Consider the following 27,924-nt stretch of genomic DNA (forward strand, 5'->3'; position numbering starts at 1 on the left):
AAACCCCAAAATCAGAAACTCAAATTTGAAAACTAGTGCTTTTCATCACAGATTCACAACACTGGCTGTACACTAGAATCACACAGGAGCTTTAAAAAAATTCCAATGCGGGGAAGAAGCGGGAGGAAGACTCAGCCTAGACCCACTGTACCAGAAGCTCTTGGGGAAGAAGGGTAGGGTCCAGGCAGTGATATTTCCACAGATGAGTATTGGCATTGGGATTTGAATATTTGGCATTTGTATTTCCAGTATTGTCAGGTTGAGAATGAGTGCTTTATATGATTAAATCATTATGCTAATTTTTTTTCCCTCTGGAAATCTGGCACACCAAAAGTTTTCTTACTCCACAGAATAACAGTAAAAATATGGTTTAAAAAATAACAACTTCTTTAAAAACATATTTACCATGTTGCTAGTCCCAGTGGTAGGCACTTGACATATTTTATATCGAATCCTCACAAAAGCCATCAAAGTGGTGGTATCCTCCACTACCGGAGGATACTGAGGCTCAGTGAGGTTGAAATTATCTATCCTGAGTCATGCATTAAATAAAAGAGTAGAAATCTGACTCAGGTCTATGTGAATCTGCCTTTGTTTTTCACAGCAGGATGCCTAAGCAGTGAGACTAAAAAATGACAACAAGCAAAAATACATAGTCAGGACCCATACATCAAAATGTGCGCTGTCCACAGGAGTTACCGTAACGGCAGCATTCACCCCTGGGTGGCCTCCTGCAGCTACCCTTTGGAGGAAATTATCTAACTCCTAGGTCAGTCATTTTAATACAGAGCCCCATCTAGTTTTGACCAAAAATGCTATTATCAAACTTGATCAACTAGATTTTTTATTTTTTAAACCAGGCTTAGCTCCTGGTAAGGATGAAGAATCATCCAATCACTAAAACTAATCAAAACAGTGTGGCTCTGGGTTCTAATTCCCAATGTCTTTAGACTAAGAAATACTTCCTGAAGTGTTTTTTCATTAAGACTTTGTTTCTAATTGACATATAATAATTGCACATATTTAGAGGGTACAGTGTGATGTTTCGACACATATATACTAACATACATATATACAAGGATACTTCGGTGTATCCTTGTATGTATGTATGTATGTATGTATAAGGTGTAATAATCAAATCAAGGTAATTAGCATATTTATCACCCCAAACACTTGTTATTTCTTTGGAATAAGAACATTCAAAATCCTTTCTTTTAGCTATTCTGATGTATATAATAAATGGTTGTGGACTGCTGTCACCTTACTGTGCAACAGAAGACCAGAGCTTATTCCTCCCATCTAACTGTAATTCTGTACCTGCTGACCAACCTCTACCTTTCCCTTGCCTCTGGTAACCACTGTTCTACTCTCTACTTCTATGAATCAACTTTTTAAGATCCCACATGAGTGAGATGATGTCATATTTGTGCCCTCACCATATTTTCTGTCTTCACATCAGATGGGTAATGTGCTGATGTTGTAACAAAGTTTGAGGGCGGTATATCTCACAAAGGAACATGAAAACCCAATCATTACACTTATGAACTACAAAAGGATCGTGCAGTATTTGTTCTTCTGTGTTTGGCTTATTTAACATGATGTCCTCTAGGTTCATCCATGTTGTTACAAATGATAGTATTTCATTCTTTTTAATGGTGGAATAATACTCCATTGTGTATACATACCACATTTTAAAAAATGCATTCATCCATTGATGGGCACTTAGACTGATTCCATCTTGGCTACTATGAATAGCACTGCAATTAACACAAGAGTACAGGTATCTCCTGGACATACTGATTTCATTACCTTTGGATATATACCCAGTAGCTGAATTGCTGGATCATATGGTAGTTCTATTTTTAATTTTTTAAGGAACTTGTTGTCCATAATGGCTATACTAATTTACATTTCCACCAACAGTATATACAATTTCCCTTTCTCTACCACATTCTTGCCAGCTTTGTTTTTTTTTTTTTTTTGTCTTTTGATAACAGGCATTCTAATTGGGGTGAGGTGATTTTGACTTGCATTTCTCTGATTATTAGTGATGGTGAGCATTTTTTCATATACCTGTTGGCCATTTGAATGTCTTCTTTTAATTAAGTCATTTCTTTTAAGGTGACATCATTAACCTACATTCTGGCCTTACGTTGCAAGAAAAACTCTAAGGCAGCCATGACATTTTACAGTCACACCTTGTAAATTGCAATGGAATACCCAATACCTATTCACTCCTTTCGGACAAGTAGTGAAGTAATGAACAAGTTATTTAAATATAAAGACTAGATGTAATTTTTCTCAAACACCAAAAAAGAAGAGAGATCAGTAAGTTCTTTTTTTTTTTTTTTTAGAAAAGATCTCATTCTGTTGCCCAGGCTGGAGTGCAATGGTGCTATCACAGCTCACTGTAGCCTCAACCTCTTGGGCTCAAGTGATCCTTCCACCTCAGTCTCTGGAGCTGGGACTACAGGTGTGTGCAACCACACTAGGATAATTTTTATTTTTTTGTAGAGATGGGGTCTCACTATGTTGCCCAGGCTGGTCTTAAACTCCTGGCCTCAACTGATCCTCCCACCTCAGCCTCCCAAAGTGTTGGGATTACAGGTGTGAGCTACTATACTCGGTTAACTTCTGATCTTAACTGCAAACCTGAACAGGCATTGAATACAGATTACATTAGAGAAAAATTATTTACAATGTGTTCTGGGTTGACTTAAGTTCAATACAATGAAAGAAAGTCCACTGTAAAAATGTATGATCTACAACCATAAACCCTTTGCAAATAATGGAAATATCTTTGAGCTGAAAATTTAAACTCTGAGTAGAGAGATATCAAAATAAATATATTTTATTTATTTATTTATTTATTTTTTGAGACGGAATCTTGCTCTGTTGCCCAGGCTGGAGTGCAGTGGTGCAATCTCGGCTCACTGCAAGCTCCATCTCCTGGGTTCACACCATTCTCCTGCCTCAGCCTCCCAAGTAGCTGGGACTACAGGCGCCCATCACCATGCCTGGCAATTTTTTTTTTTTTTTTTTTAAGTACAGATGGGGTTTCACCATGTTAGCCAGGATGGTCTCAATCTCCTGACCTCGTGATCTGCCCGCCTCGGCCTCCCAAAGTGCTGGGACTACAGGCGTGAGCCACCACACCCGGCCCAAAATAAATATTTTAATAAAGATTGAGTTATTCTTTTCCCTTTTAAGAACTCAACAGTAGCTTAATCTAGGCACTGAAATTTTTAGAACCAATTTCTGCATTTAAAAGAAGGCCATAATTCCTATTTATGGTGTTTTATTTTTTCTCCCATACTTAATAATTGCTAAACATTTGTGGCATGATAAGCATTGTACAAATACATAGAAGGTATTTCCATCTATTAGCAAAGTGGAAATATCTGTATTGTTTATTCCTGGCTTAAAGTTTTAACATCAGAAATTACTTTAGAGACAGAAATTTGTCATTAAAAGTATTATGTAACACCCTTCAAGTTGCCAGGGAAACAAACCAAATAAAGAATATCTAAAAGTTAGCCTAGCCTCTTGGAGTACTTCTGCTGCCAGGCAAAATATTTATCATTCACTTTAAAATCACGTATGTTTGGAGTTAGGCACAAATGTGGTTTGGATCCTACACATCTACCATTTTAATTTCTATGTTATAAAAATATTGGAAAAACATTTACCTCTGCAATTGTCTCATCAGTTGATTCAAAGCTTCTTGAAGGGGTGTCTGTTCTACTTCTAAAGCAAAGAAGAAGGGAAAAGGGTATTTTAAAAAGGAGTATTCTAGAGAGTATTATTTACTAGATCATTTTCTACAACCATTATTAAATATCTCATACAGAAATTCCATTTATCTTAAAAATATATTGAAGTTTGAGAGTATTAATCCAAAATTGAAGCTAATTTAAAGCTCTTATGCAGTTTGAGAGAAAAAACTTAAAAATTCAATCACAAAGCTCCAACTTAGAAGCTAAAACCCCACCATTTTCCTGAGCTATAATGATTTCAGCCTCCTCATTCAGGATAGTTAATTCAGAGTTATTCCAACCTTCTTGTTTGGCTAAAGAGCTTGTGAGAGGCTTCTCAGGAGGCAAGTCTAATCTCACAGGGGCGTGACACTGGAGATCTTTTTCTGCCTCATTCTCCACCCGGTCTCGATCTCGCTTCTTTTTATCCTCCTAAATGGAACAAAGGGAGATAATTTAGAAATATTTCAGAACCAATATCTTTAAATACATAAATCATTTTAAGGGGTAAAAAGACATCATTGTAAAGAAAATATTCTTAATAACAAGCTCAATGTACTTTACTGCCATCTACTGGAAAAGGAGAGAATAATACGTTCACGAAGGAAAAAACAAAGGGGGTCTCTATGCCAGAAATAACCAGTTAGAAAAACAATACTATCCAAAAAAGCAACATAGTGTATATAGAAATAAATCTAATAAAAGATACCCAAAACCTTTTGGGAAAAACTGTGAAACATTACTGAAGGTCACAGAAGGCCTGAATAAAGGAGATATACTATGTTCATGAATTCAGAGTCAATCCTCTCTCAAGTTATCAATACATTCGATGTAATGCCAATCGAAATTTAAAAACAAAAATTTCCATGGAATTCAACAAGCCAATTGCATTAATTTACCTCGAAGAGTGAACGATTAAGAACACAATAGTTTTGAAAAAGGTCAGAGTAAGATGATACGTCTTACCAGATATTATTTGTATAACGTGATAATAAGACAATGTGGGTCTGACACACAGACAAATAAGCCAACAGAAGAGATCAGAGCCCAGAAACAGACCCATGTACATAGAATAATCTTAGTATATCACAGAGGTGACATTATAAGTCAATGACAAAAGGGTGGTGCTGAGACAACTGTTACCTGAAAAGAGAAAATAGAATTTGAGCTCTACTTCATGCCATACACAAAAGTGAATTCCAGATAAAGACTTAAATGTACAAAGCAAAGCTTCAGAACTTCAGATAAAAGAAAAGCATCTTTAAGACCCAAGAGTAGAAAAAGACTTTCTTAAAAAGATATAAAATGAATAAATTTTAAAGGAAAACCTTGATAAATTTGATATTAAGTTGATAAATTTTGGTACCTCAACAAAATCCATGAACCAAGTTAAAAATCTAACGATAGACTGAGATAAAGTACTTGAAACACAACTTATAAAACATTAAGGATTCCATGAAGAGCATCTATAAATCTATGCAAAAAGGCAAAAAATCCAAAAAAGAAATAGATAAGTGATATCACAGGTAACTCACAGAATAAGAAATGTGAAATGTTGAGAACATGAGAACTAGCTCAAGCTCCCTAGAACTTGGGTAATTATAGATTTAAAAACTAGAAGGCATTTCGCCTCTCTTTGGCAACATTTGTCTGAAATGTCAAGTTTTGATAAAAATGTAGAGAAATGGGATTTTCATACCTTGCAATTGGGTGAATAGGAACAATCCTTAGCAGAGCAATTAGCAATATCTAGCAAAGCTAGCAAAGCCTTTAACCTACTTCTCAACTGCTACTCTCTGTGCATATACCAGAGAAATTTCCTGTCGTATGGTCTACATGGAGACTTGTAAGAGATTACTGCAGCATTGTTTAAAATAGTAAAAAATAGGAATAATCCAATGCCTATTAAAAGGAAAATAGATTAATAAATTGTGTCATATTTACATAACAGGTAATGTAAATGAGCTAAAATTGTATTGTATCAACATGGATAACATTCAGAAACAATGTCTGAAGAAAAGTTGCAGAACAATTACTGTTACAAGCTATGTATGAAAATGTGTAAGCATACATTGTTTACAGATGTATGCAGAACTTGTAATTATAAAAACATGCATGTGATATACACCAAATTCAGTACAGTGGTTCTATCAGAAGGAAAGACAGAAATGGGACTCTGAAAGGGTATAAGGGATCTCTGTCTGCCCTCTTCTTTCCTTAGGGGAAAAAAAAAATATATATATATATATACACACACACACACACATATATATATGGCTAAATGTTGAGATCTGTTAAAGCTGGATGGTTGGTATCAAGATGGTAGTTTTATTATTCTCTGTACTCTGCATTCTTAAAATTTAAATTCTGAAGTAAAATTGTCCAACAATGCCCATTTTATGCTCATCAAAATCAAGATTCTCAACAGGATCTTATGGACTCAAAAAGCTATTTTCTTGGCCTATGCCCTATTTTTTATTTCTAGTATCTACAGCAATGGTTCTCAAAGCATGGTCACCAGACTGGCAGCATCAGGATTATTTAGGATTTTGCAAGAAACAAAAATTTTATTTTGCAAGAAACAAAAATTCTTGTGGTTCGCAAGCTTTAGTGTGCATTAGAATCACCTGAAGGTCTCATTAAAAACACAGATGGCTGGGCCTTGTCCCTAGAATTACTGATCTGCAGGTATGGGGTAGAGACAGAGAATTTGTACTTTCTAACAAGTTTCCAGGCCATGTGGGTGTTGCTGGTACAGGGACCACACTTTGAGAATCACTGATCTAGAGCTCTGCACTCTATTTTCAGAATCCAAAGCACCTAATACAGAATATATGGTTGTTTTAAAAGTTCCAGAGAGCAGTTATAAACTGAACTCATGCTTGATCCCAGCTACCACTGTTAGTTGGTTAATGTATTTTTACCACCTCACAACATATTCTGTTGCAGTAATTCTTAACTTTGGAAAATTTTAAATCCTTCGTCCAGAAATACTGGTATGGATCTTGGTAGGCTGGCAAGTTTAGAAGATCCATTCTATGAAATAACAGCCACAGAGACACAGATTCCTTCCTATTAAATGTGACCTGTGAAGAAAGGACAGCTTGAGAGGCAGTATGCATTCTCCCAGGTAGAAAAAACTCATCCAGTGCCAGTGCCAAGAGTCTAGAACTGGGGCCAGCAAACTTTTTGGTCAACGACCAAACTGGGCCAAGTGCAGTGGCTCGTGCCTGTAATCCCAGAGCTTTGGGAGGCTGAGGCAGGTGTACCACTTGAGGCCGGGAGTTTGAGACCAGCCTGGCCAACAAAGCGAAACTCCATCTCTACTAAAAATACAAAAATCCGCTGCGGGTGGTGGTGCACGCCTGTAATCCCAGCTACTTGGGAGGCTGAGGCAGGAGAATCGCTTGAACCCGTAGGTAGAGGTTGCAGTGAGCCAAGAACGCATCACTGCACTCCAGCCTGGGCGACAGAACAAGACTCTGTCTCAAAAACAAAACAAATCAAAACAAAACAAAAACCCAAAACGGCCAAACTGTAAACATTTAGGCTTTGTGGCCCATTAAGTTCTGTCACAACTACTAAACTCTGCTTTTGTATTATAGTATGTGTTGTAGTATGAAAACCACCACAGATAAAATGTAAATGAATTAATTTGGTTGTGTTTCAATAAAAATTTATTTACAAAAACTGTTGGCCAACTTGCTAACCTATGCTCTAAGAGTCCAGCTTCATCCTTAAAACACTCTGCTGGCTGGATGCGGTGGCTCACCCCTGTCATCCCAGAACTTTGGGAGGCCGAGGTGGGTGGATCACTTGAGCTCAGGAGTTCGAGGCCAGCCTAGGCAACATAGCGAAATCCAGGAGTTTTGGTGTGCACCTGGAGTCCCAGCTACTTGGGAGGCTGAGGTAGGAGCATGGCTTGAGCCCAGGAGGTGGAGGTTGCGGTAAGTCGAGATTGCACCACTGCACTCTAGCCTGGGCAACAGAGCCAGATCCTGTCTCAAAAAAAAAAAAAAAAGAACAAAAAGAATAAAGTAAAAAACCACTCTGTGACCTTAGGCAATTCATTTACTCTCATCAGACCTCTTTACCACATGCAAGATGGAGATTTAACTGTTATTATTTATCTTACAGAGTTGATAAGATGGTCAATCATAAACTAGCCAAGTGGAAAAAGTACCAAAGGAGGGTATGTTTCTGAACTACCCCTACCTAGTATCTTTACCTAGTTATCCTGGTCTACCGTAACCACTTTATCATTCAGTAAAGCAAAAAGTCTTTGGGGCTAGGGAGTCCAAAAGAAAAAAAGAATATAAAAACATATGCTTGGAAACTACCCTAAACTGAATAGAGATATCATAGCATGTTATTTCCAGACTGAGAATCAGGAGATCTAGCTTCTAGTTCACCAGCATATGACTTTTAACAAGTTACCCCACTGTTTTAGTCTCAGTTTCCCATCTGTACAACACAAGGCTGTGATCTCTACAGGTCTCTCTCCACCTAAAATTCTGATTCCAACCTTTACATTTTCTTTTTCATAATTCAGAGTATGTTGCAGAATCTTGTTGTGAATGTCACTTATTAAATGAATATAGTTACGTAAAACCATAAGTTAACACAGTTCTGGTTAACAGTAAATTCTGTTAATTACACAGAAAAAACTAAGCAAAAATATTAGTGCCATTTAACTTTAGGTAGTTAAGGAAGAAGAGTTTACAGTTAGTTTATAAAGCGGGTTTAAATTCTGGCCTCGTCACTAGTAGGTGACAAAGCTATGATATGGATAAACTATGTAATTAGCTATGGTGTCATGGATAAACTATATAATTTTTTGGAGTCTAACGTTCTAATCTTTAAAATAGACACAAGAATACATACCTCACAGGACTATTTTAAGGATTAAATGTGATAGTTTATGTAAAGTTTTAGCACATTACTTAGCACATGATGGACACTCATTCATTCAATAAATAAAAGAGGCTTTACTGTGTGGCTATATAGTGAAAGAGAAAATATACACAGCCCTACTCTTACGGAGCTCAGAGTGAAACAGCAGAGATGTTCATTAAATAACTCATTCAAAAAACAAACAGGTTTATAACAGCAGAGATGTGCATTAAATAACTCATTAAAAAAAATAAACATGTTTACAACTAATTGATCACAACGAGCTACAGATTTTTTTGTTCCTTCCCCATTCCCACTGCTTCACTTGACTAGTCTTAAAAACAACAACAAAACAGATTTCAAGGACAGAATAACTTTTGGGTGAAAATAATTTAGACTGGACAAGTGTGGGAAGGTTTCCATGAGGAAGTAACATCTGAGCTGAGATCTGAAGGAGAAAGAATCTAGCTAGGTTGGGGGTGGAGGTAGGTGTGTGGGAACAGCATTCCAGGCAGGGGAAACATCTTGTATGCATGAAGATCTGAGGCAGGAGAAAGGAAGAGGGGCTATTTCCATGAACTACAAACACATTTACTTTCTTCTGACTAGATTCTAATTTGCCCACAACTTGATGGCAAGTTATTTTATTAATCTGTGTGTAATGCTTTTAAAGCAAATCTTTGCTCAGATTATTAGGATTTAACACTCACCGAACCACATTATTCACTCAACAAATGACATTTGCCTGTTCTACTGGAGCTCCCTCTGGACAGTGGTCCTTGTCTTATTCAGCTCCATACCTGCAAGCTCAGCAAATGCCTAACACATAATACTTGCTAAGTATTTGCAGAAGTAATTAATCATAGGAGACAGCATGACATAGGAACACAAAAGCATGCAAATTAACAGCTAAAGTCCTTAGTAATAAGTACTGTCCTTCAGGTTGGTTACTTTCGGAGGATATATACACATACATATATTCAAGTGATGCTCCAATATGCAAAACAATGTAGAGTTCCCTTTTAACAGCTGATTTTAGAATCCAATGAAAAATGTTTCATTACCTGGCAGCTGCACATCATTTTTGGCCCTAGGCTGAAAACAGCATTTGCTACACACGTTAGCCATTAGCTCTATGATGCTTTCCCCTAGCTGCCCACGGCAGAATGACGCATACCTTTCCCTGGACTCCTGGAACAAGTTAGTCAAACCTCCCTTAGGATTTACCAGGTCGTGAGGTTTATTTATACTTTCATGTCTGATTCCTGGGTCCAACTTTGAGCTCCTGTAGGATTTTATTTATTTATTTACCTATCTTAATCACTGGAGCCTAGTACAGTCTGGCCAGATAATAGGTGTCAGGTAAATATTTGTTGAATAAAGAAACAGATAAACAGCCTTCTATCAGAGGAGCAATGCTACTCATAGGCCCCTTTTCTGAGTTCTTCCTTCCTTGGAAAGGTCTTTTGGGGTTGAGACGACTACCTCAGGAGGGACACACACAGACCAATGCTGAGAAAGGGGGAGGGTTTTCTGCCAAGGCAGATAAGCCACAACAGCCCAGAGATGCCAGGTGTGACAGATGGCACAAGTCAATGAACTGTGTTTTGCCAGAATTCTCACTTTGCTTAATACGATTAGTCACTGCTCCTCTCTAGTTAAAAGCTACCTCATACTCTGTGGCTCAGTTAAATCAGCAGTACGAGATACTAACAGCACCTACCTCACAGAATTATTTCTAAGGATCAAAATAGTAAATATACACAAAGAATTTAGAATAGTGTCTGGCAGACAGTAAACACTCGGATGTTAGTTATGAGTCTGCCTCCACTGTTGGACTTAGTATAGATAGTGCTTTAATAAAATAGGTACTTACTGGAATTTACTGTAATTTTCATTAAAGTTTTACTTAATTTTAGCTTTATATATAATAACATCCTATATGTGTTAATGCTTTTGAGTAAAAAAATTTTTTTAATGACTACTATCTTTCTCATTTTATTCTGATAACATTCCTAAGCAATGTGAGTGGCCTAACTTCTTTCAGCAACTAAACCAGAAGTCGACCTACAAAGCTATTAAGACATCATTTGGGTTAGGACTATGTTCTTCAGAACAGCAAGTGAGTTTCAATAAAGGAATTGAGACCACTCGTCTGAGCTATTTCAATAAAAAGCTTTCTATGCAGGTCTCCTTACAGTTTCCACTCTCTCCATTCAATATTTGTTAGATACTGTTACCAGATTTATGTTACTAACACTCAGCTTTTATCATTCTTCCACTCAAAGTTTTTGATTTCCTACTGACTACATACTGAAGCTCAAACTCCTTACTCTGCCATCTCAGCTGCCTTTCAGATCTTACCCTATCCTCCCCTCCATGCATTCTGTGTTTAAAAAGAGACTTACTTTATGTCCCCTATACGCATCTCCTTCTTGCCCATTTTTGAGCTAATCCTCTAACAACAGCTCCATAATCCTCTGGTGTGTGGGCTTCCTGACCTCCACGTCTCTACGCAGTGGCCTATCATTCTATTCAGGGATCATCATCTAAAGGCAGCACATAAATAAAAATTGGGTTGTCAAATCACCTTGGAAAATACCTGAAGTAGCCCATTAAGTACAATACTCATGACTTACAATCTTAGAATACTTCTACTGAACTACCATAAAAAGAGCCATTTCTCTCAGGGCATATAGTTGACCCCATGTTAACTGAACATATAGTGTTACATCACTGTATTTTGATTTCTAAAGCCCAACTCAAATGCTGCTTCTTGAGAAAAGTCTTCTGTGATTTCCCCCAGCTCCATGTACTCTCAGGAGCCTCAGAACTAGAACCCTGCCTCTGTTAGGGCACTGACTTTATTTCCCCATGTGCTGTGGGCAGAGGTTGGTGCCTACTTTAACAACTCTTTCAGATTAAAGACCTCTTAAGGGCAGAATTTGAGTTATTGTTCTGGCATTAACTGTGAGACTTTGGTAAAGTTACTTAACCTCCCTGAGCCTCAATTTTCTCATTAATAAAAGAGGAGATAGTATGATCCAGTAATTCTATTTGTGGGTGTGTATCCAAAAGAAGTGAAAGTAGGGGTCCTGAAGAGAACTTTGTACAATTCATGTTCCTCGCAGCATTATTCATAACAGCCAAAAGGTGGAAGCAAACCACATGTCCACTGACTGATAAATAAATAAAATGTGGTATATCCATACAATGGAGTAGCAATTAGCCTTAGAAGGGAAGGACATTCCAACACACGCTACAACAGACGAACCTTGAGGACATTGTGCTAAATGATATAGGACAGCTACAAAAAGACAAATACTGTATCATTCCACTTATAAAAGCAGTCAAATTCACAGAGACAGAAAGTGGAATGGTGGTTGCCAAGGTCTGAGGAGAGGGAGAAAGGAAAATGGGGAGTTTTTAATAGGTACGAAAAAGTTCTGGAAAATAGTTGCACAAAAATGTAAATACATTTAACACTACTGAACTGCACACTTAAAAATAATTAAAATGGTAAATTTTATGCTATGTGTATTGTACCACAATCCAACAAAATAGAGACAGAACACCAGTCTCACAGGATTACAGTAGGGAGTATAGTAGGATGATGTACATAAAGCGCTCAGCACAGAACCTAGGATGTACTATATGCCTGATAAGTAGCAGTTGTTATTTGTAAAACGTTACGTGTAGCTTTTTCGTGTTATAATCATAATGGGTGTGTATATGGTTATTTCCTCTACTGTGATTTTAGAAATACTTCTGTAATTTTTATAAATCATTTTATCAATTAACAGCCTCACAGAATTTTACCTATTGCATCTTAGTTTTACTTAACTATCCTCTTGTGTATGTATGACTAGATCAGATGGCATAAGCATTTTTTATGGCTGTTATTTTATTTTTTACATAACATGGGAAAATATTAAGACTGAACATTTAGGAAAGGAAAACTAATGTTTTAAGAGTCATGCCAGCAGGCAAATTCTTTATCAACTGCTCAGCATCAGAATGTTTAAGGAATAAGAAAATTCATCACTTTCATAGGGGTGGTGTCTTGTGGAAACCAAAGCACGTTGTACCCCTAATGCTTTGGTTGGCATTAAATACCACTGCTGTACAGGGAGAAATACTGCTGATCCTACCCGTTGGGGCATTTTAAACTAATATAGTTAGAGCCTTCCTACTCAAAACAAGAAAATCACTTAACTGAGGCACTTTTGAAAAATTGTAAGGCTTTACGTTGTGTGTTTGTGTGTGTGTGTGTGTGTGCGCGCGCGCGCGTGCGCGTGTGCTTCCCCCAACTTTATCTTATTTTCCTAAGTAACAGATTCCTAATTTTTAGCAAGGTACATTACCCCCATTCACTCCCCGCAACTAAAATGCCAGATATGGTAGCTCACACTTGTAATCCTAGTACTTTTGGGAGGCTGAGGTGAAAGGATCACCTGACCCCAGAAGTTTGGGACCAGCCTGGACAACATAGCAAGACCCCATCTTTACAAAAGAATGTTTTTGAAAAAATTAGCTGGGTGTGGTGATACATGCCTGTAGTCCCAGCTACTCGGGAGACTGAGGTGAGAGGATCACTTAAGTCCAGGAGTTTGAAGCTGCAGTGGACCATGATTGCACCACTGCATTCTGCCCTGGGCAACAACATGGGATCCTATCTCAAAAAGGAAAAAAAAAAAAAAGACAACATTTTCCGGTCTCCCTATCAGCTAAGGTGACTGTGTGATTAGGTTCTGGTTAGTAAAACATAAGCAGAAGTTATGTATGCCTTTCAGAAAAATGTTTTGAAAGGAAAAGGACATCCTTTGTCCTCCATCCAGCTCCATGGAACTGAGAGAAGAGTCGCCAGTCCCTCAGAATCATACATACTCTAGCCCTTCTTTCTCCCAAGAAGAGATCACATCAACTACTATTCCTAAAACTCCCTGGACATCCAGAACACAGCTCACAGAGGCATCTCTAAGGTCTCCCTCCCTACATAACACTAGCAAAAAGAATCTCTCCCTGCTTCCCTGGTCTAGCCTGGAAAAAAAGAATGACCCAAACAGTCCCTACAGAACCAGTGACACCCCAGAGGATCTGAAGTCTCTAGCCCTGAATGTGAAATAGAAACCATCCCCCTACCTGTCCTATTCTGAGAGGTGTGTCCAGAAGAGACTGTGGATATGAACCCATTTTAGGTTGCAATGACATCAAAATACAATGGGACTAATGATCTTTAGAGCCACAGTCAAGAAAGGATAGAGTGGCTGGAACACAGGGGGGAGAACACTTCTAAGAACCCATCCTGAAGATATTCTTACACAAGTGTACAAAGATGTGTGTACAATGAGGCTCACTGCAGTATTACATGTAAGATTTAAAAGTAATAATCATAAGTATGGTATATCCATATAACTAAATACTATGTAATCGATATAAAGATAACGAATAAAACAAGAAACGAAGAATATTAATGTATCAATGGGATTATGGTGGTAACTGCCAGAACAAAAACCAGAGTGGTTCAAAGTGGTTACCTCAACTTTTGTTAAACAAGACGATGGCCGGAACAAAGAGCACGTAAGAGACAAAGGTTGATAAGCCACGTCAACACACTTGGGAGACGGAAGGCAAATGGGGTGATTTGCAGAACAGAGAAAGCAAGATACTCCCGTATGCAGAGAGGTGGACACCTTTGAAAAAAGCCTAAATTCCAGAACCCTGGAAAAGCTCAGAACTGGAGGAGGCAGGGAACCTGAGAGTCTCCAAATCTCGAGACGAGCCAAAATAAGGAGAAATGCCAGACTCAGAAAACTGGGTGGTAAGACCTTCAGCCCCTGCCCCATAGTTGGCTCCAGAAACACGGATAAAACTGGCAAAATCCATCTCCTAGGAGAGGAGGATTTTTCTCTGGAGAAACTAAAAATCCCAGAGAAAACATCTGTAAGGTACAGACATTGGGGCATTCTTCACCAAAATGACTGAGTCCCTGTTAGTCACTCTACAATAAAGTCCATCAACTGACAAACTCTGTCTAGGTACAAAGCATTTACTCAGCTTTGTACAAACTGCAAAAGCTCAACAGACAACTAAAGGATGCTTTCAACAGAAAACAGAGACAGACAAATAAATGGAAGAATTTGGGAGAGAGAGACAGGGCAGGGAGCAAAAGAAAACTTAGGAGAAAAAAACAGGAAAAAACTTCGATTAATATCCTCAGAGAAAGAAAAGAATATACTGCATCTAAAACCAAGAACAGGGTGCTAATTCAAAAAGGACAGTTAGAGAACAAGAAAAAATTCTTGGAAATTCAAGGTATAAGATCTGAAATAAATCTGGAAAAGTCAGAAATTTTAGGGATGTTCCCTGAAGGAAGAACCCTCCCCCACCCCACACACACCCAGAAAAAATATGAGAAAAACATAAGAAAATTAGAGGATCAGTTCAGGAGTCTAATATCTAAAGGGCAGGAGTTCCAGAAACCAAGAAAAGAAAAAATGGAGGGAAAGAAATGAACACAGGAATACTTCAAGCACACAGCTCTGAACTGAAGGCACAAGTATTCATTGTGAAATGTCAGAACACTGAAGATAAGGGGGGAAGATCCTAAAAATTTCAAGTTAGCAAATACTGGTCATATGCAAAGGACTAAGAATCAGAATGGCAACAGACTTCTCAACAGCAAATTTAGAAGCCAGAAAACAACAAAGCAATGCCTTCAAAAGTCTGAAAGAAAATAATTTTCAATCTAAACAAGTCAAACCATCAACCTGTATGAGGGCAGAATACAGATTTTCAAACATGTTAGAACTTATAAAATCTACCCCGTGTATGCTTTCTTAGGACGTTCCTAGAGTTAAGAGTCCACCAGAACAAGGGAATGAATCAAGAAAGAGGAAGGCATGAGATCCAGGAAGCAGGTGAAGGAGAGTCCCAGGAGGCCTTGACAGCAACTAATTCAGCCTCCAGGAGACAGAAAGCTGTAAGATAAATGTCTCCAGAGGAAAATAAAAAAGGAAGTAAAGAACTCAAATGAGTTTCATAAATCTTAGAGTTTGGGAAGAATTATTAAGCAATAACCAAACAAATGAAAGCAATGATCTAACTAGTTAAGATCAGATCTATATTTGCATACTATACTTGTCTACAATCACTTTAATATTGATTTAACCAATAATTGTGATGTACCTATACCTTGAGCAAGGGAAACTGAATTCTCATCTTCCATAACATGATGTCAGTAGAAGATATAAACTGCTAAATCAGTAAATAGCAATATAAACCTTTATTTTGAAATAGAAATAAGTAGGCAAGGAAAAATACCTAAAAAGTGTCCAGAGTGGAGCAGCAGCCTGCTTTGTGTCAAAAAGCTGTGTAGTACTCTTGACTTTTAAAAATCATCTTCACGAATTACTTTACTACTATTAATTAAAAAAAACAACTGGTTACCTCTGAAGAGGGAGTCTATGTGAAGGATTGGGGTGAGGAAAACTTTTTCCATTTTGTGTACTTTTGCACCACATGAACTACTTTTAAAAAATCAAATGCATATATGGGTTTTATAATTTAAGGAAGAAAACAAAACATTACTCCTACCTAGCCAAAGGTAATAAAAACTGGGACAAAAGGGAAGGAATAGACTTAAGAAATCCCCAAAATAAGATCTCTAAGACTTGGTGACTTAGCAATGTGTTCAATCACATGGAAGAGAAAGCTCCTCTTGTATATATAAACATAAGAAAAATTACATAACTAACCTATGAAAATTTACCTTCACAATAATTGATGTAATAAGTCGTTCAGTGGCAGGTTAAATTTGGAAAGTTAATAACAGTAATAACAATGTTATTATTATTAGAGACAGAGTCTCGTATTATTGCCCAGGCTGGAGTGCAGTGGTATGATCATACCTCACTGTACCTCAAACTCCTGGGCTCAAGGGATCCTCCCACCTCAGCCTCCTGAATAGCTGGGACACAGGTGCACACCACCAGGCTCTGGAAATTTTTGTAGTTTATTTTGCAGAGGCAGGGCCTTGCTATGTTGCCCAGGCTGGTCTCGAACTTCCAGCCTCAAGCAATCCTCCCACCTCGGCATTCCAAAGTGTTGGGATTACAAGTGTGGGCTACTGGGCCCAGCCATTAATTATTATTTTGCCCAGCTTTCAAACCAAGATGGTAGCTACTCATTCTTTTCTGTTAAATGCAAATGGTTAAGAATATCAATCTCCATTACAGGTTTCTGACCAAATTTTCTCAACACACTACAACACTGTTTTAAAAGATTTAAAGTTGCTCATTACAGATTTGGCATTATAATATTTATTTCAGAACAAACTTTAAACCCCAGTAGATCCCACTCGCTTCTGAAATGACTATTTTTGACAATCCTTGAACACTGAGGCTTTCTTGAGCATGACTTTTTACCCTGCCTAGATGGAAAAACCATTCTTTGAAGCAGCTCCTCAAAATTTGGACTTAGCTGCTTCCTCACCTGATGTGCGAGTACAATTGCCTAAGAGTATAATCCAAAAACGACTTGCTGAAACTCATAGATGATTCATGTCTCTATTCTGTCCTGCTCCTCCTCAAACGAGCCAGATCTTAGAGGCGTTTGTTTTCCCCAGATACAAAGAAAATAAAATGAGGTTGGCACCTGGAAGAGGCAGTGCCGTCCGCAAAGCCAAAGCAATGTAACCACTTGTACCTTAACTCTTCTCCGTTTTCTCCCCTTTTCTTCCCCTGGAATCTGCTTCTCTCCTTTCTTTCTCTTTTTCCGCTTTCTGTCCTTGTGTTTGTCATGATCGTTTTTGTCTTCGAAGAGGCTGGAGTCGTGCCCCGAGCTGCCCGTGGAGAGTTCGGTGACTTCGTTCCCTCCTACTTTGAGGACCAGCTTCAAGGGCTTCTCTACATACTCTTAAAAAAAGAAAAGAAAAGAAAGGAAAGCGCGTCGATTAAAATCGGGGCTCTCCAGGGAGTGCTAAGGATGCAGAGCGCCAAGGCGCAGCAAGCCCGAGGCGGCTTTGGGCGCTCCGCGAAGCACCTGTTGAATGACGGACCCCGGCCCGGGGGTGCGGCGGCGCCGCCCGCCCCGAACGCTCCCAGGCCTCCCGGGCCCGCCTCACGTCTCCCCACCAGAGACCCACCGGACCAGGGGGACCCGGGTTCGAATGCCGCGGCCGCACGGGGGGCAGCGCGGCCTCCGGCAGGACGCGCCCCCTTCGCCGGCCTGGGCCTGCCGTGGGAAGGAAGGGCCCCGGGCCGCCCCGGAGCCACTGGGAAAGAGCGGAAGCCCGGCAGAGCCGCCGAGGGCCCGCCGCCCGCACCCCGGCCCCCTCCTCACCCTCGTAGAGGTGTTTGTCCGACTTGTGCTTCTTGTGCTTCTTGCCCATGTCCGACCGGGCCCCGGTGCCCGCCCCCCGCGCCAGGCCCAGGCCGTGCGGCGCCGCTTCCGGTCCGGGCCAGGCGAGCGGAGGGCGGGAGCGGGGCCCGCGAGACCCCGCGCCGCGAGGCAGGGGGGCGGCGCGCGCCGGGCGGCGCGATGCCCCTCTCGAGAAGACGGCGCGCGAGACCCGGCCGGAGCCCGAGAGCGGCGGCGGGGGGGGCGCGCGGCCGGCGCAGAGGCGGGAAAGAAGGCCCGCCGCGCGCACAGGGTGCCGGCGGCTGCGGGTGGCGGCCCCTGGCGACCGGAGGTGGTGCTGCAGCTCGCGGGCCGGGGGCGGGGCCGAGGGCGGGGCCGGGGCGGGATCCACCGCTCAGACTCTCGTCTTTCTTCCTTCCTCCCTTTCCCCTCAATTTGTCTGTCTTGTCTCTGTCTCTGTGTGTCTCTCCCTCCGTCTCCACTTCCCTCCCTTCTTTTTACTCCCTCCCTCTCTTTCTTTCTCTTTCCCTTCTTCCCTTCCTTCCTCCTTCCTTCCTTTCTTTCTTCCCTCCTTACTGCCTCCCTTCAAGCCTTCCTTCTCTCTTTTCTTCCTCCCTCATCACCCTTCCTTCTCCTCTTCCCGTCTCCTTCCCTCTTTTTTTCTTTTCTTTTTTTCCCCTTCCTCCTTCCCCCACTCTTCCTTTCTTTCCACTTTCCCTTGCTTCTGTTTCTTCCCTTTTACGATATTGACTGAACCCCATACTGGGTGCCAGACCCAGCAAACTCAGCACATTGGTGACTGAAGATTCTAATCTTAAAAAAAACTTATGTGCTGATAGGTGAAGGTTACCAGACGTTTTGACTGTCTTTACTTCTAGCTGTATGGTGCTTTGTCTGTTTTCAGATAAGCTCGTAATTATAGTCTCCTCTTAAGAAAGGATCTGTTATCAGTCATTTATACTTTAGTAACAATTTAGACCCATGAATCACCTCTCCCAGGAAGATTTGTAGCTTTACCTTGAACTTCAGTGGTGAAATTATAGGCTTATATTTTAGGACCCTATTGTTGGCAACTAATAGAAACCAATTTGAATTATTTCAAGTAAATAAAAAGGGATTTATTGGTTTACATGTCTAGAAAGGGCAAGAATAAAGCTTGCCAGAGGGAAGACAGGAACCAAGGATGTAATGCTGTTGACTGGCATGCCAGCTCGCTCTCTCTCTTGTCTCTCTGTATATCGGTCTCCATCTCCCCCCTTCTTTCCTATATGGCTGGAAACATGGCCACCATCTGCTTCTGAGGCCTCTTCTTTATAGTGTCCTGACCAACTGGGAAAAAGATCTCTTCCTGTCAGCTTCACCTGGAAAACAGTCCCAGGGAAGGACTCTGATTGGCTTGGCTTGTGTCACATGTTTTATGGGACAGGGGATGGGAGATTGATTCGGCCTGGATGCCAAATCTACCCCCTCACCCCCTTGGCCAAGAGAAGTGGAGTCTGTGATTGGCAGCTCCTGCCAGACTTCTATGGTTAGCCAGGGAAGATGAGGTTCTTCTAATGAAGAGAGTTGCTTTTTCATGAAAGCTAAAAGTGTGTGTCTATTATTTCCCTGTAACAAGCCTCTCTGGTGTCCGTGAGGCAGAGATCAGGGTGTGGGAAGAGGGGTTGTGTTGGGGAAGAGACCTTCTGCTGCTCTGAAATCAAGCCAGCTAGGCCCCCTAGGCCCCCTAAGCATAGGGCAAAGCTTGGTTTCAGCTTTTCATCCACTGTCTGTAACTTATTTTGCTTTAAGAACCACTATGCCAACTCCCACTGTGGGTCTGGCCTCTATTGTGGCATTGCCTTGCTCCAGGCTCAACCTGTGGGTTTACCTGTCTGCTCCTCATTACCCTGGGTACCTCCTTGGTACTTACAGTGCCTAGCACAGTGACTACTACTGTCCAAATGCCCCTCAGAGGAAAAAGGTCTGGTGAACTCATCCATACTATCAAGTTAGTAATTTCCCTACCCTCTCAAGAGTGATTCTACATAGGTCACAAAGTGGTCACATCAATGGAAAGTGAATAAGAGTACGTAGCAGAAAACACCTCCCAGAAAAATGTTCCTGGAAGTGGAAGCCCAAATTCATCTAGTTTTAAATTCTCAGCACTAATACCATGCCTGGCACATAGAAGGCACCAGAAAATGCTAGTTGAGCTGCACGGTCCTGGTTCGGGCAGACTCCCCTGAGAGATTTCTGCCTGCTGCCATTCATGACCTCCCAGTGAGTGTAGAATGGCCTGGAGACTGGCTTCAGAGCAATAGAATATGGCAAAGATGATGGACGTCACTCCTGTGTTGAGGATACATAAGACTTCAGTCTTACTTGCTGACCGTCTCTCTTGCCTTCTTGGCTTGCATGTTTTGATGAAGTAAGCTGCCATGCTGGAGAAGCCCATGTGACAAAGACCTGAGGCTGGGCCCCAGTTGACATCCGGCTACAACTGAGGCTATCAGTCCAACAGCCTTGAAGGATTGAATCCTGCCAGCAACTGTGTGAGCTTCAAAGTGGATCCTTCCTCAGTGGAACATTCAGATGAGACCTCAGCCCTGGCTGACATCCTGATCACAGCCCTGTGAGAGTCCCAGAAGCAGAGGCCCCAGTTAAGCTGTGCCCAGACTTCTCCCCCAACAGCCCAACAGCTCTTGAGTGAGTGAGACAGAGCTGACTTGAGTCCTGGGGTCACAGATGCTTACAGGGTCTGTGACTTTGGCATGTCCTGAGAGGGCTGCCTACCTCTGAACCTTGGAACCAGGGTGAGGTCATTGGGTGTGCTGCTGCAACAGGGTGGTTGTAAGGATCAAAGAAGATAATGTGGTCAGAGTGCCGAGAGTAATGCCTGATATGGTAGATAGTAAATGGTCAATAAATATCAGCTGCTAATACTAACTTTTAAATATTTGTGAATGTCACTTTCCTGCTCAAAACCATCTTGTGGCTCCCTGTCTCACTCGAAGTCAAAGCCAAATCTGCACCTTGGCTTTCAGGGCCGGATCTGGCCCTCATTCTCTTTCCAGCCCCATCCCCCTGCCCCCTCCTCCCTCCTGCCCCAAGCCCCTGCTTCTCTTCCCTGTGTTCAGAACACTCTCCCCTGAGCTCCTGGAGTGGCTCCTGCCCTCACATCACCTTGGTCTCCCCTGTGACCACCTCAGAGAAGCTTCTGGACCACCAACCCACACACCCCTTCCCCTCTTCCCTCAGCCTGTGCAATGCCTTGTTTCTCTCCATTGCACCTACAGCCTCCAAAATTATGTTGAATATCTCTTCCCTATCTGTGTGCGTGTCCACCATCTGTCCACTGGCTTCCCAGGTCCCCAAGGTTAGGGACTAGGTCTGTCTCACTCCTGGCTGTGTGCCCCGCACTTAGCACAGAGCTGGGCTCAGCACAGGCCCTGGAGAAATATTTGTTGGACAAATGAATACATCATAATTACTGTGTTGTGATAATAATTCTCTTCCTCCTTCCTCCCCTTTCTGGTGGAGACACGAGGTGACTGGAGCCCTCCGGGAGAGTCTGTGGAGGAGAAAGCCTGGCCACTGGGGGGTGTGGCATGCCCAGGAAATCTCTGCGCAGCTCAGCTTGGAGGTGGCCCCTCTTCAGCCTGGCCTCTCTGCTGAGGAGTTGTTGCCCAGGGTGCCTTCAGGCCTTGGTGCTCTGACAGAGAGGACGCTCTGGGACACAGCTGATGTCCTTGCCACCTGACCCTGAGGTAGAGTGTGGCCTTCATTGGTTGGGTGGGATGAGGGCTGGGCGAAACTCAGGGGCCTTGGTTCTGGGACACCCACTGGGAACCCTTTATAGCTATTCCCCTATAGCCAACAAATGAAAGAGGGCTGCTGGGTGCTGACCTATGATCTGGACAGACTAAAAGCCTCAAACATCAGGGGCTTCTGAGCCCCCTCGCCTCTGTTTGGCTGTACTCCTCAAAGCCCCCTTATGCAGCACTGATGCAGGATGGGGAACTCCTGAGACGGAGAGAATCCTTGGGCTACTAACTTCTTCTCCTGCTTTCCTTTGTCTGAATCTCAGTTTTCTCCTCTGAGGGATGGGCAGAGCCAGCCTCATGCAGCCTGTGTGGCTGGCATGAGGGTTAGCAAAAGCAAGGAGTGAGAAATGTTCTGGCACAACACAGGCCTTCCCAAGTGTAATGGGGCAGACGGTGGGTGGGAAAGGGCCGGTTCTCCTGGATACTCCATGGGGATTCCTGCCCTCTGTCCTGGGGTGGGAGGTGGCATCCCCTGAGCCCAGGCTCCCAGCAGCTCCAGCTAGTGCCTCATTTGGCACCAGGAGCAGGTCTGGGCCTTCCTGGTGCCAGCCTGATGCCAGCCTGTGAGTGCTGCTGGGAGAGGCCTCAAGAGGCTGAGGCTGGTTCAGCAGGCAGCTCTGTGGGGAATCAGTGGCCTGGGGTGATTCGCTATGACAGGTTGTTGACAGTGCAGCTTCCAGGGTTGCTCACGGTCACTGGCGGAGCAGCCCCAGCTGCTGCCTCTGAGTGAGGAAAAGAGAGAGGCGGTGGATGGCCGCCATCCACGCAGGCATGCCACATGGCCTCTGCCCACACGGTCTCAGAGCTGCTTACTGGAGGGCAGCGAGCCCAAGCCATGACACTCACGGCTGCCAACCCCAAAAGTCATTTAGCCTCAGAGCCCTTGATCAAATAAGACAGAGGCAACATCAGGACCTTCCTTCCTTCTTTCAGTTCATATTTTCTGTGTGCCTACTATGTGCTGGGGGGTGCTAGGAACACGGTGGGAGTAAAATAGACACAGCCCTGCCCTTATGGAGAGCACAGTGAGATGCATGTTAGACAGAGAACACAGACAAATATTTAATCATGGCCATGCTAACGGTTAGAAAGGAAAACAGCAAGCTGCTGTCCAGATAGTGCTCTGACCCAGGCTGAGGGCTCATCCAGGCCTAACCTGGAGGATAAGTCTTGGTTAGGTGCCCTACAAGTGGAACCTGAGGCGTGGATCTGTTGGGGTGGCAATTGGGGAGAAGCTGGGAGAGAAGCAGGACGGGGTGGGTAGAAGCAGAGAAAGAGGTGGTCCCAGCCTCAGCCCCGTGCCACAGTGGTGGCGGGGCGAGGGGGGATTGGGAACATCAACTGTCCAGGGAACAGTCCCACCCTGTGGGAGGTGGCTGGCCTTTTGTAGCCCATGGTGGGCAGCGAGGTCTGCCTGATTGTCGCCTATTACAGAGGTGACTCTAGTTTGTCCCAGGGCAATTCTCTGAGGGAGGTGTGCGGCTGCCTTCCGTGAGTGGCCAACACTCCCAGCTGCTGGTGATGCCCCTCCAGCAGGATGTGCCTTCAGGAGAGGTGAGCCAAGGGGGCATCAGCTGCATCTACTAAACAGGCAGAGAGGTCAGCATGTGCAAAGGCGAGGGAAAGTTGGGTGCAGTCAGGGAGGAGAGGAGAGCAGGTTTGGAGCAAGAGAGATGATGGGGACTGTGTCTGGAAGAAAGGCTGGGCTGGGCAGAGCTTTTCAAGGCATGGCAGAGATGCTTGATTTTATTTGGGATGCCCATGAAGGCAGTGGACGTGGGTGCATGGCCATATTGGCAATTTAACAAGAGCGCTTTGGCTTCTGAATGAAGGAAGAATTGGAGTGGGTTAGGAGACCGGGCAGAGAGACCAGCTTAGAAGTGATGTGGTCTTCAAAGGGGAGATGGGGGTGGCTTGGTCTAGCGTGGATGATGTGGGGATGGTGCAATGGGATAATTCAAGAGTTATGTAGGAGGAAGAACTTAGGAGGGGTTAGGGATGCCTATGCAGAACCCAAGAGGAGAATCCAAGTAGGAAGGTGAATGCATGTGTCTGGGGCTTGGAAGGGAGGTGAGACCTGAAAATAGATTTTTGGCATAGAGATGTCTTTGGAACCTCAGGAGTGAATGAGACCACCCAGGAGGAGAGAGTAGAGTGATCAGAGAAGATGGAGCCTTGAAGAGCTTCAATATTATCTAACAGGTGAATAAAGGATGAGGAAGCAGCAGAGGAGACTGAGGAGGGGGAGGGAGGCAGGAGGAGAAGCAGGAGAGTAGGACACCCAGCAGGGGAGGACAGAGCACTGGAGCCAGGTGAGGGCAGTGGCGGGCTGAGAGTGTGTAGAGGAAGGAAAGCTCGGCCAGGCTGCAGGGAGCCTCTAAGCACTGGAAGGGCTGGGGGAGGGTGGATCAGACAAGTAGACTTGTGCATGCAAGGCCACTGAGGTGATGCTGGAGAGTGGGAGGTGTGATGAGACAGAGATACAGAAGGGAACACTGAGGCCTTGAATGACAGGCTGTGGGGTGTGGACTTCCCCCTGTAAAGTGGGATAAACCAGATGAAATGGTCACCTTGGAGAAAGCTGGGCATTTTCCAGGAGCCCCAGGCTGGGGACAGACCATGAGCAGCTCAGAAATGATCCTGCAGGCCCGGGCTCCCGGTCCATCATGATTCCTTGGAGTACTGCCCTGCGGACGGGGCCCAGGATTAAATTCCCTTCACAGAAAGTCACTATGTGTTTGATAAACTCTTATCAGACTGTGGCTGTGGGCTTGTGCCATGTCACCCAGATCTCTAATTTCATAGTCCTGGCTCTGCCAAAGACTGGCTGTGAAACCTGGACATGTCTCTCCCCTATCTCCATCTAAACAGGGCTGCAGAAAGAGGAGGAGTCAGTCAGATGCGCTGACTCATGCCTGTAATCCCAGCACTTTTGGAGGCTGAGGTGGGAGGATTGCTCAAGACTGGCTTGGGTGACGTAGCGAGACCCCATTTCTATAAAAAATTAAAAATTAGCCAGGTGTAGTGGTGCATGCCTGTGGTCCCAGCTACTCAGGAGGCTGAGGCAGGAGGATCACTTGAGACCAAGAGGTGAAGGCTGCAGTGAACTATGATTGTGCCACTGCATTCCAGCCTGGGCAACACAGTGAGATCCTGTCTCAAAAACAAAAAAAAAGGTAAAAAGATAAAGAAAGAGGACTCGACTGGCTGCTTTCAAGCTGTTGGTTCTAGGGAAGCACTTCTGACGCTCTGTCAGTGTCTGATAAAGACTTTGTTTTTAAAAATATGTGTGTATTTTAGGTTTTTCTTGATTCAGTTATTTAGTTTTAAACCTATTTATTGCCTAAGTAATTAATGTTTGTTATAGACCAATTGAAAATACAAATAGGTGTAAGGAAGATATTTCAAATTGCTCATAATCTCACCACTTTCTGTAATAGTTTGGTATATGTCATTCCAGATATTCTCCAGTGGTGTTTTTTTTTTTTTTATTAGAGTTTGGTGGTGATTCTTTTCTCCCTGCCTCAGGGGATAGATTCATGATACCCCTTTATTGAGCCTGGCTACTCAAAGATTGGTCCAGGGACGGCTGCATTGGCAGGACCTGGGAGCTTGGTAGAGATGCAGAGTCTCAGGTCCCACCTCAGGATTGTAGAATCGGAATTCACATTTTAAACAAGATTCCTGGGTGATTCATATATGTGTATTAAAGTTTGAGAAGCACTATTCTGGAACATTAGCTTATACTTAGACTTAATTTTCTTGGACAAGAGAAAGGGAACATTTCTGAAGTTGGAACAACTAGACATCAAAAGGAGACCCTTTGACAAAACCAGATAAACTAAAAGGTTCTTTTTTTTTTTTTTTTTTTTTTTAACTCATAAGCCCACAGAAAGATGGAAAATATCTGAGGGACTTTTCATTTACTTTATTTATTCATTTATTTTAGAGATGGGGTCTTGCTGTGTTGCCCAGGCTGGAGTGCAGTGGCTATTCACAGGGGCGATCGTAGTGCAGAACAACCTTGAACTCTTGGGTGCAAGCAATCCTCCTGCCTCAACCTTCCAAGTAGCTGGGACTACAGGCGTGTGCCACTGCACCTGGCGTTTACCCCAATTATTTAAAAAGTTTCTTTTTCTTTCTTTTTTTCTTTTTTTGAGACTGAGTCTCACTCTGTTGCCTAGGCTGGAGTGCAGTGGTGCAATCTCGGCTCACTGCAAGCTCCGCCTCCTGGGTTCATGACATTCTCCTGCCTCAGCCTCCCGAGTAGCTGGGACTATAGGTGCCCGCCACCAAGCCCAGCTAATTTTTCGTATCTTTAGTAGAGACGGGGTTTCAACGTGTTAGCCAGGATGGTCTCGATCTTCTGACCTCCTGACCTCCTGATCTGCCAGCCTCGGCCTCCCAAAAAAGTATTTTTAACTATTAAAAAAGAACAGTGATAGAATGCTAGAACTTATTCCTTCTATCTAGTAATTTTGTATTCATTAACCAACTTTTTTTTGTGTTTGTTTGTTTTTTGTTTTTGTTTTTCCTGTGAAGCTTTTATTTTGGGCAGAGGGCAGGGAGCTCAGTCCTTCCTGGCAGCTGCTTTCTTCATGGCCGCCAGGACGTGGCTCAGCTCCTCTCTCTTCGTCTTGGCATAGATGTGTGTTAAGCAACCTCTTTCTATCTGCCTTCCCTATTCTTCCCAGCCTCCAGTTACTACCCTACTTCCTGCTCTAGCCTACCCTCTACTTCCATGAGATCAACTCCTTTAGCTTCCACATATGAGTGAGGGCAAAGGATTTAGCCTTTAATCCTGCAGTATTTCTCTTTCTGTGCCTGGCTTATTTCACTTAATGTCGTGTCTTCCAGGTCACCCATGTTATTTCAAACAACAGGATTTCCTTCTTTTTTTAAGGCTGAGTAGTATTCCACTGTGTATTTGCTTTATCCATTCGTCTGCTGATGGATATTTAGCTAGATAGGAGGAATACATTTTAGTGTTCTTTGGCACTGTAGGGTGACTATAGTTAATAATAATTTATTGTATATTTCAAATAGCTAGAAAAGAAGATTTTGAATGTTTTCAACACAAAGAAATAATAAATGTGTAAGGTGATGGATGTGCTAATTACTCTGATTTGATCATTACACATTGCATATATGTATCAAAATATCACTCTGTACCCCATAAATATGTATAATTATTATGTATCAATTATAAATAATTTTTAAAAAGTGATTGAAAACCTCCCACACATGCAAATATATAATAAAATTTTATACATTGGAAATGAATAACACATTGACATTTGGGTCTTCATTGATTGTAAAAAGTAAATGTTAAGAACTTTTTTTTTCTTTTTTTTTTTTTTAAGATGGAGTCTCACTCTGTCTCCTAGGCTGGAGTACAGTGGCATGATCTTGGCTCACTGCAACCTCCGCCTCCCAGGTTCAAGTGAGTCTCCTGCCTCAGCCTCCCGAGTAGCTGGGTTTACAGGCATGCACCACCACACCCAGCTAATTCTTGTATTTTCAGTAGCGACAGGGTTTCCCCATGTTGGCCAGGCTGGTCTCGAACTCCTGACCTTAGGTGATCCACCTGCCTTGGCCTCCTGAAGTGCTAGGACTACAGACGTGAGCCACTGTGCCCAGCCAAATGTTAAGAACTTTTAACGTAAAAGATAAAACACATTTGCACTAACAAGCTACTGCTTTTATTTCTCACACATAGGCATTCTGCTTAAAACTTCATTTGAAACAAGAAGCTGCTGAAAATCTTTGAAAACCACTCAGTGATAGGACTTCCAGGGGCCCTTCCACGGCTCTGTAATTCGGTTAGATAAAACATTATAATGATCAGATGTTTTTATTTTTAAAATACACATCTTTTAGCAGACCATAAAGCCACACACAGATTAGTTGAGCTTGTTGTGTGGCTGGATAAAGTCAGCTGGAACTTGATTTAGGGGAAGAACACTGAACTGGAGATCACAAAGCCTGGTTCTCATTCTTGCATTGCTTGGCCTCCATGTGACAGTCAGAAACCCATCCCTAATGAGGTTGAGCTTCAGGTGTGGCTATATCCAGGTGCTCAAATGATGTCCCCAAGATTCAGGCTTTCT

The 27,924-nt window shown here is 42.6% G+C and overlaps 1 protein-coding gene and 1 non-coding gene across 12 annotated transcripts in view, besides 3 other annotated features; both read right to left on the reverse strand.

Moving 5' to 3' along the window:
* BRD7 (bromodomain containing 7) overlaps positions 1-18,253 on the reverse strand; it is a 53,032-nt gene extending 34,779 nt beyond the window's left edge. For 6 of the 11 annotated variants that reach the window (XM_011523049.3, XM_011523048.3, NM_001437990.1 and 3 more), the window contains exons 1-4: positions 17,991-18,253; positions 17,304-17,563; positions 4,058-4,187; positions 3,690-3,747 (exon numbers count right to left, since the gene is read on the reverse strand). In XM_011523049.3, coding sequence (XP_011521351.1) covers positions 3,690-3,747; positions 4,058-4,187; positions 17,304-17,563; positions 17,991-18,039 — 497 coding nt within the window. In that variant the 5' untranslated portion in view covers positions 18,040-18,253. Of the gene's footprint in view, positions 1-3,689; positions 3,748-4,057; positions 4,188-11,056; positions 11,217-17,303; positions 17,564-17,990 lie in introns of those variants that run through there. The other 5 variants (NM_013263.5, NM_001438175.1, NM_001438174.1 and 2 more) reach the window with 2 other exon arrangements.
* Positions 1,454-1,557, reverse strand: LOC124903785 (small nucleolar RNA U13). Its single transcript, XR_007065231.1, has one exon. It is a non-coding gene; the product is annotated as a small nucleolar RNA U13 (small nucleolar RNA).
* Positions 17,642-18,151: a silencer, noted in NCBI's record as "silent region_7481". NCBI's record gives its function as "represses an Ori minimal core promoter by ATAC-STARR-seq in GM12878 lymphoblastoid cells {active_cell/tissue: GM12878}" and the evidence as "EXISTENCE:reporter gene assay evidence [ECO:0000049][PMID:35858748]".
* Positions 18,182-18,431: a silencer, noted in NCBI's record as "silent region_7482". NCBI's record gives its function as "represses an Ori minimal core promoter by ATAC-STARR-seq in GM12878 lymphoblastoid cells {active_cell/tissue: GM12878}" and the evidence as "EXISTENCE:reporter gene assay evidence [ECO:0000049][PMID:35858748]".
* Positions 24,003-24,297: a silencer, noted in NCBI's record as "tiled region #13482; K562 Repressive DNase matched - State 13:Ctcf, and HepG2 Repressive DNase unmatched - State 8:EnhW". NCBI's record gives its function as "represses a minimal TATA promoter and a strong SV40 promoter by Sharpr-MPRA in K562 cells, with weaker repression in HepG2 cells {active_cell/tissue: HepG2 | K562}" and the evidence as "EXISTENCE:reporter gene assay evidence [ECO:0000049][PMID:27701403]".

This window comes from Homo sapiens, chromosome 16 (genome assembly GCF_000001405.40).
Source record: "Homo sapiens chromosome 16, GRCh38.p14 Primary Assembly".
Lineage (NCBI taxonomy): Eukaryota > Metazoa > Chordata > Mammalia > Primates > Hominidae > Homo > Homo sapiens.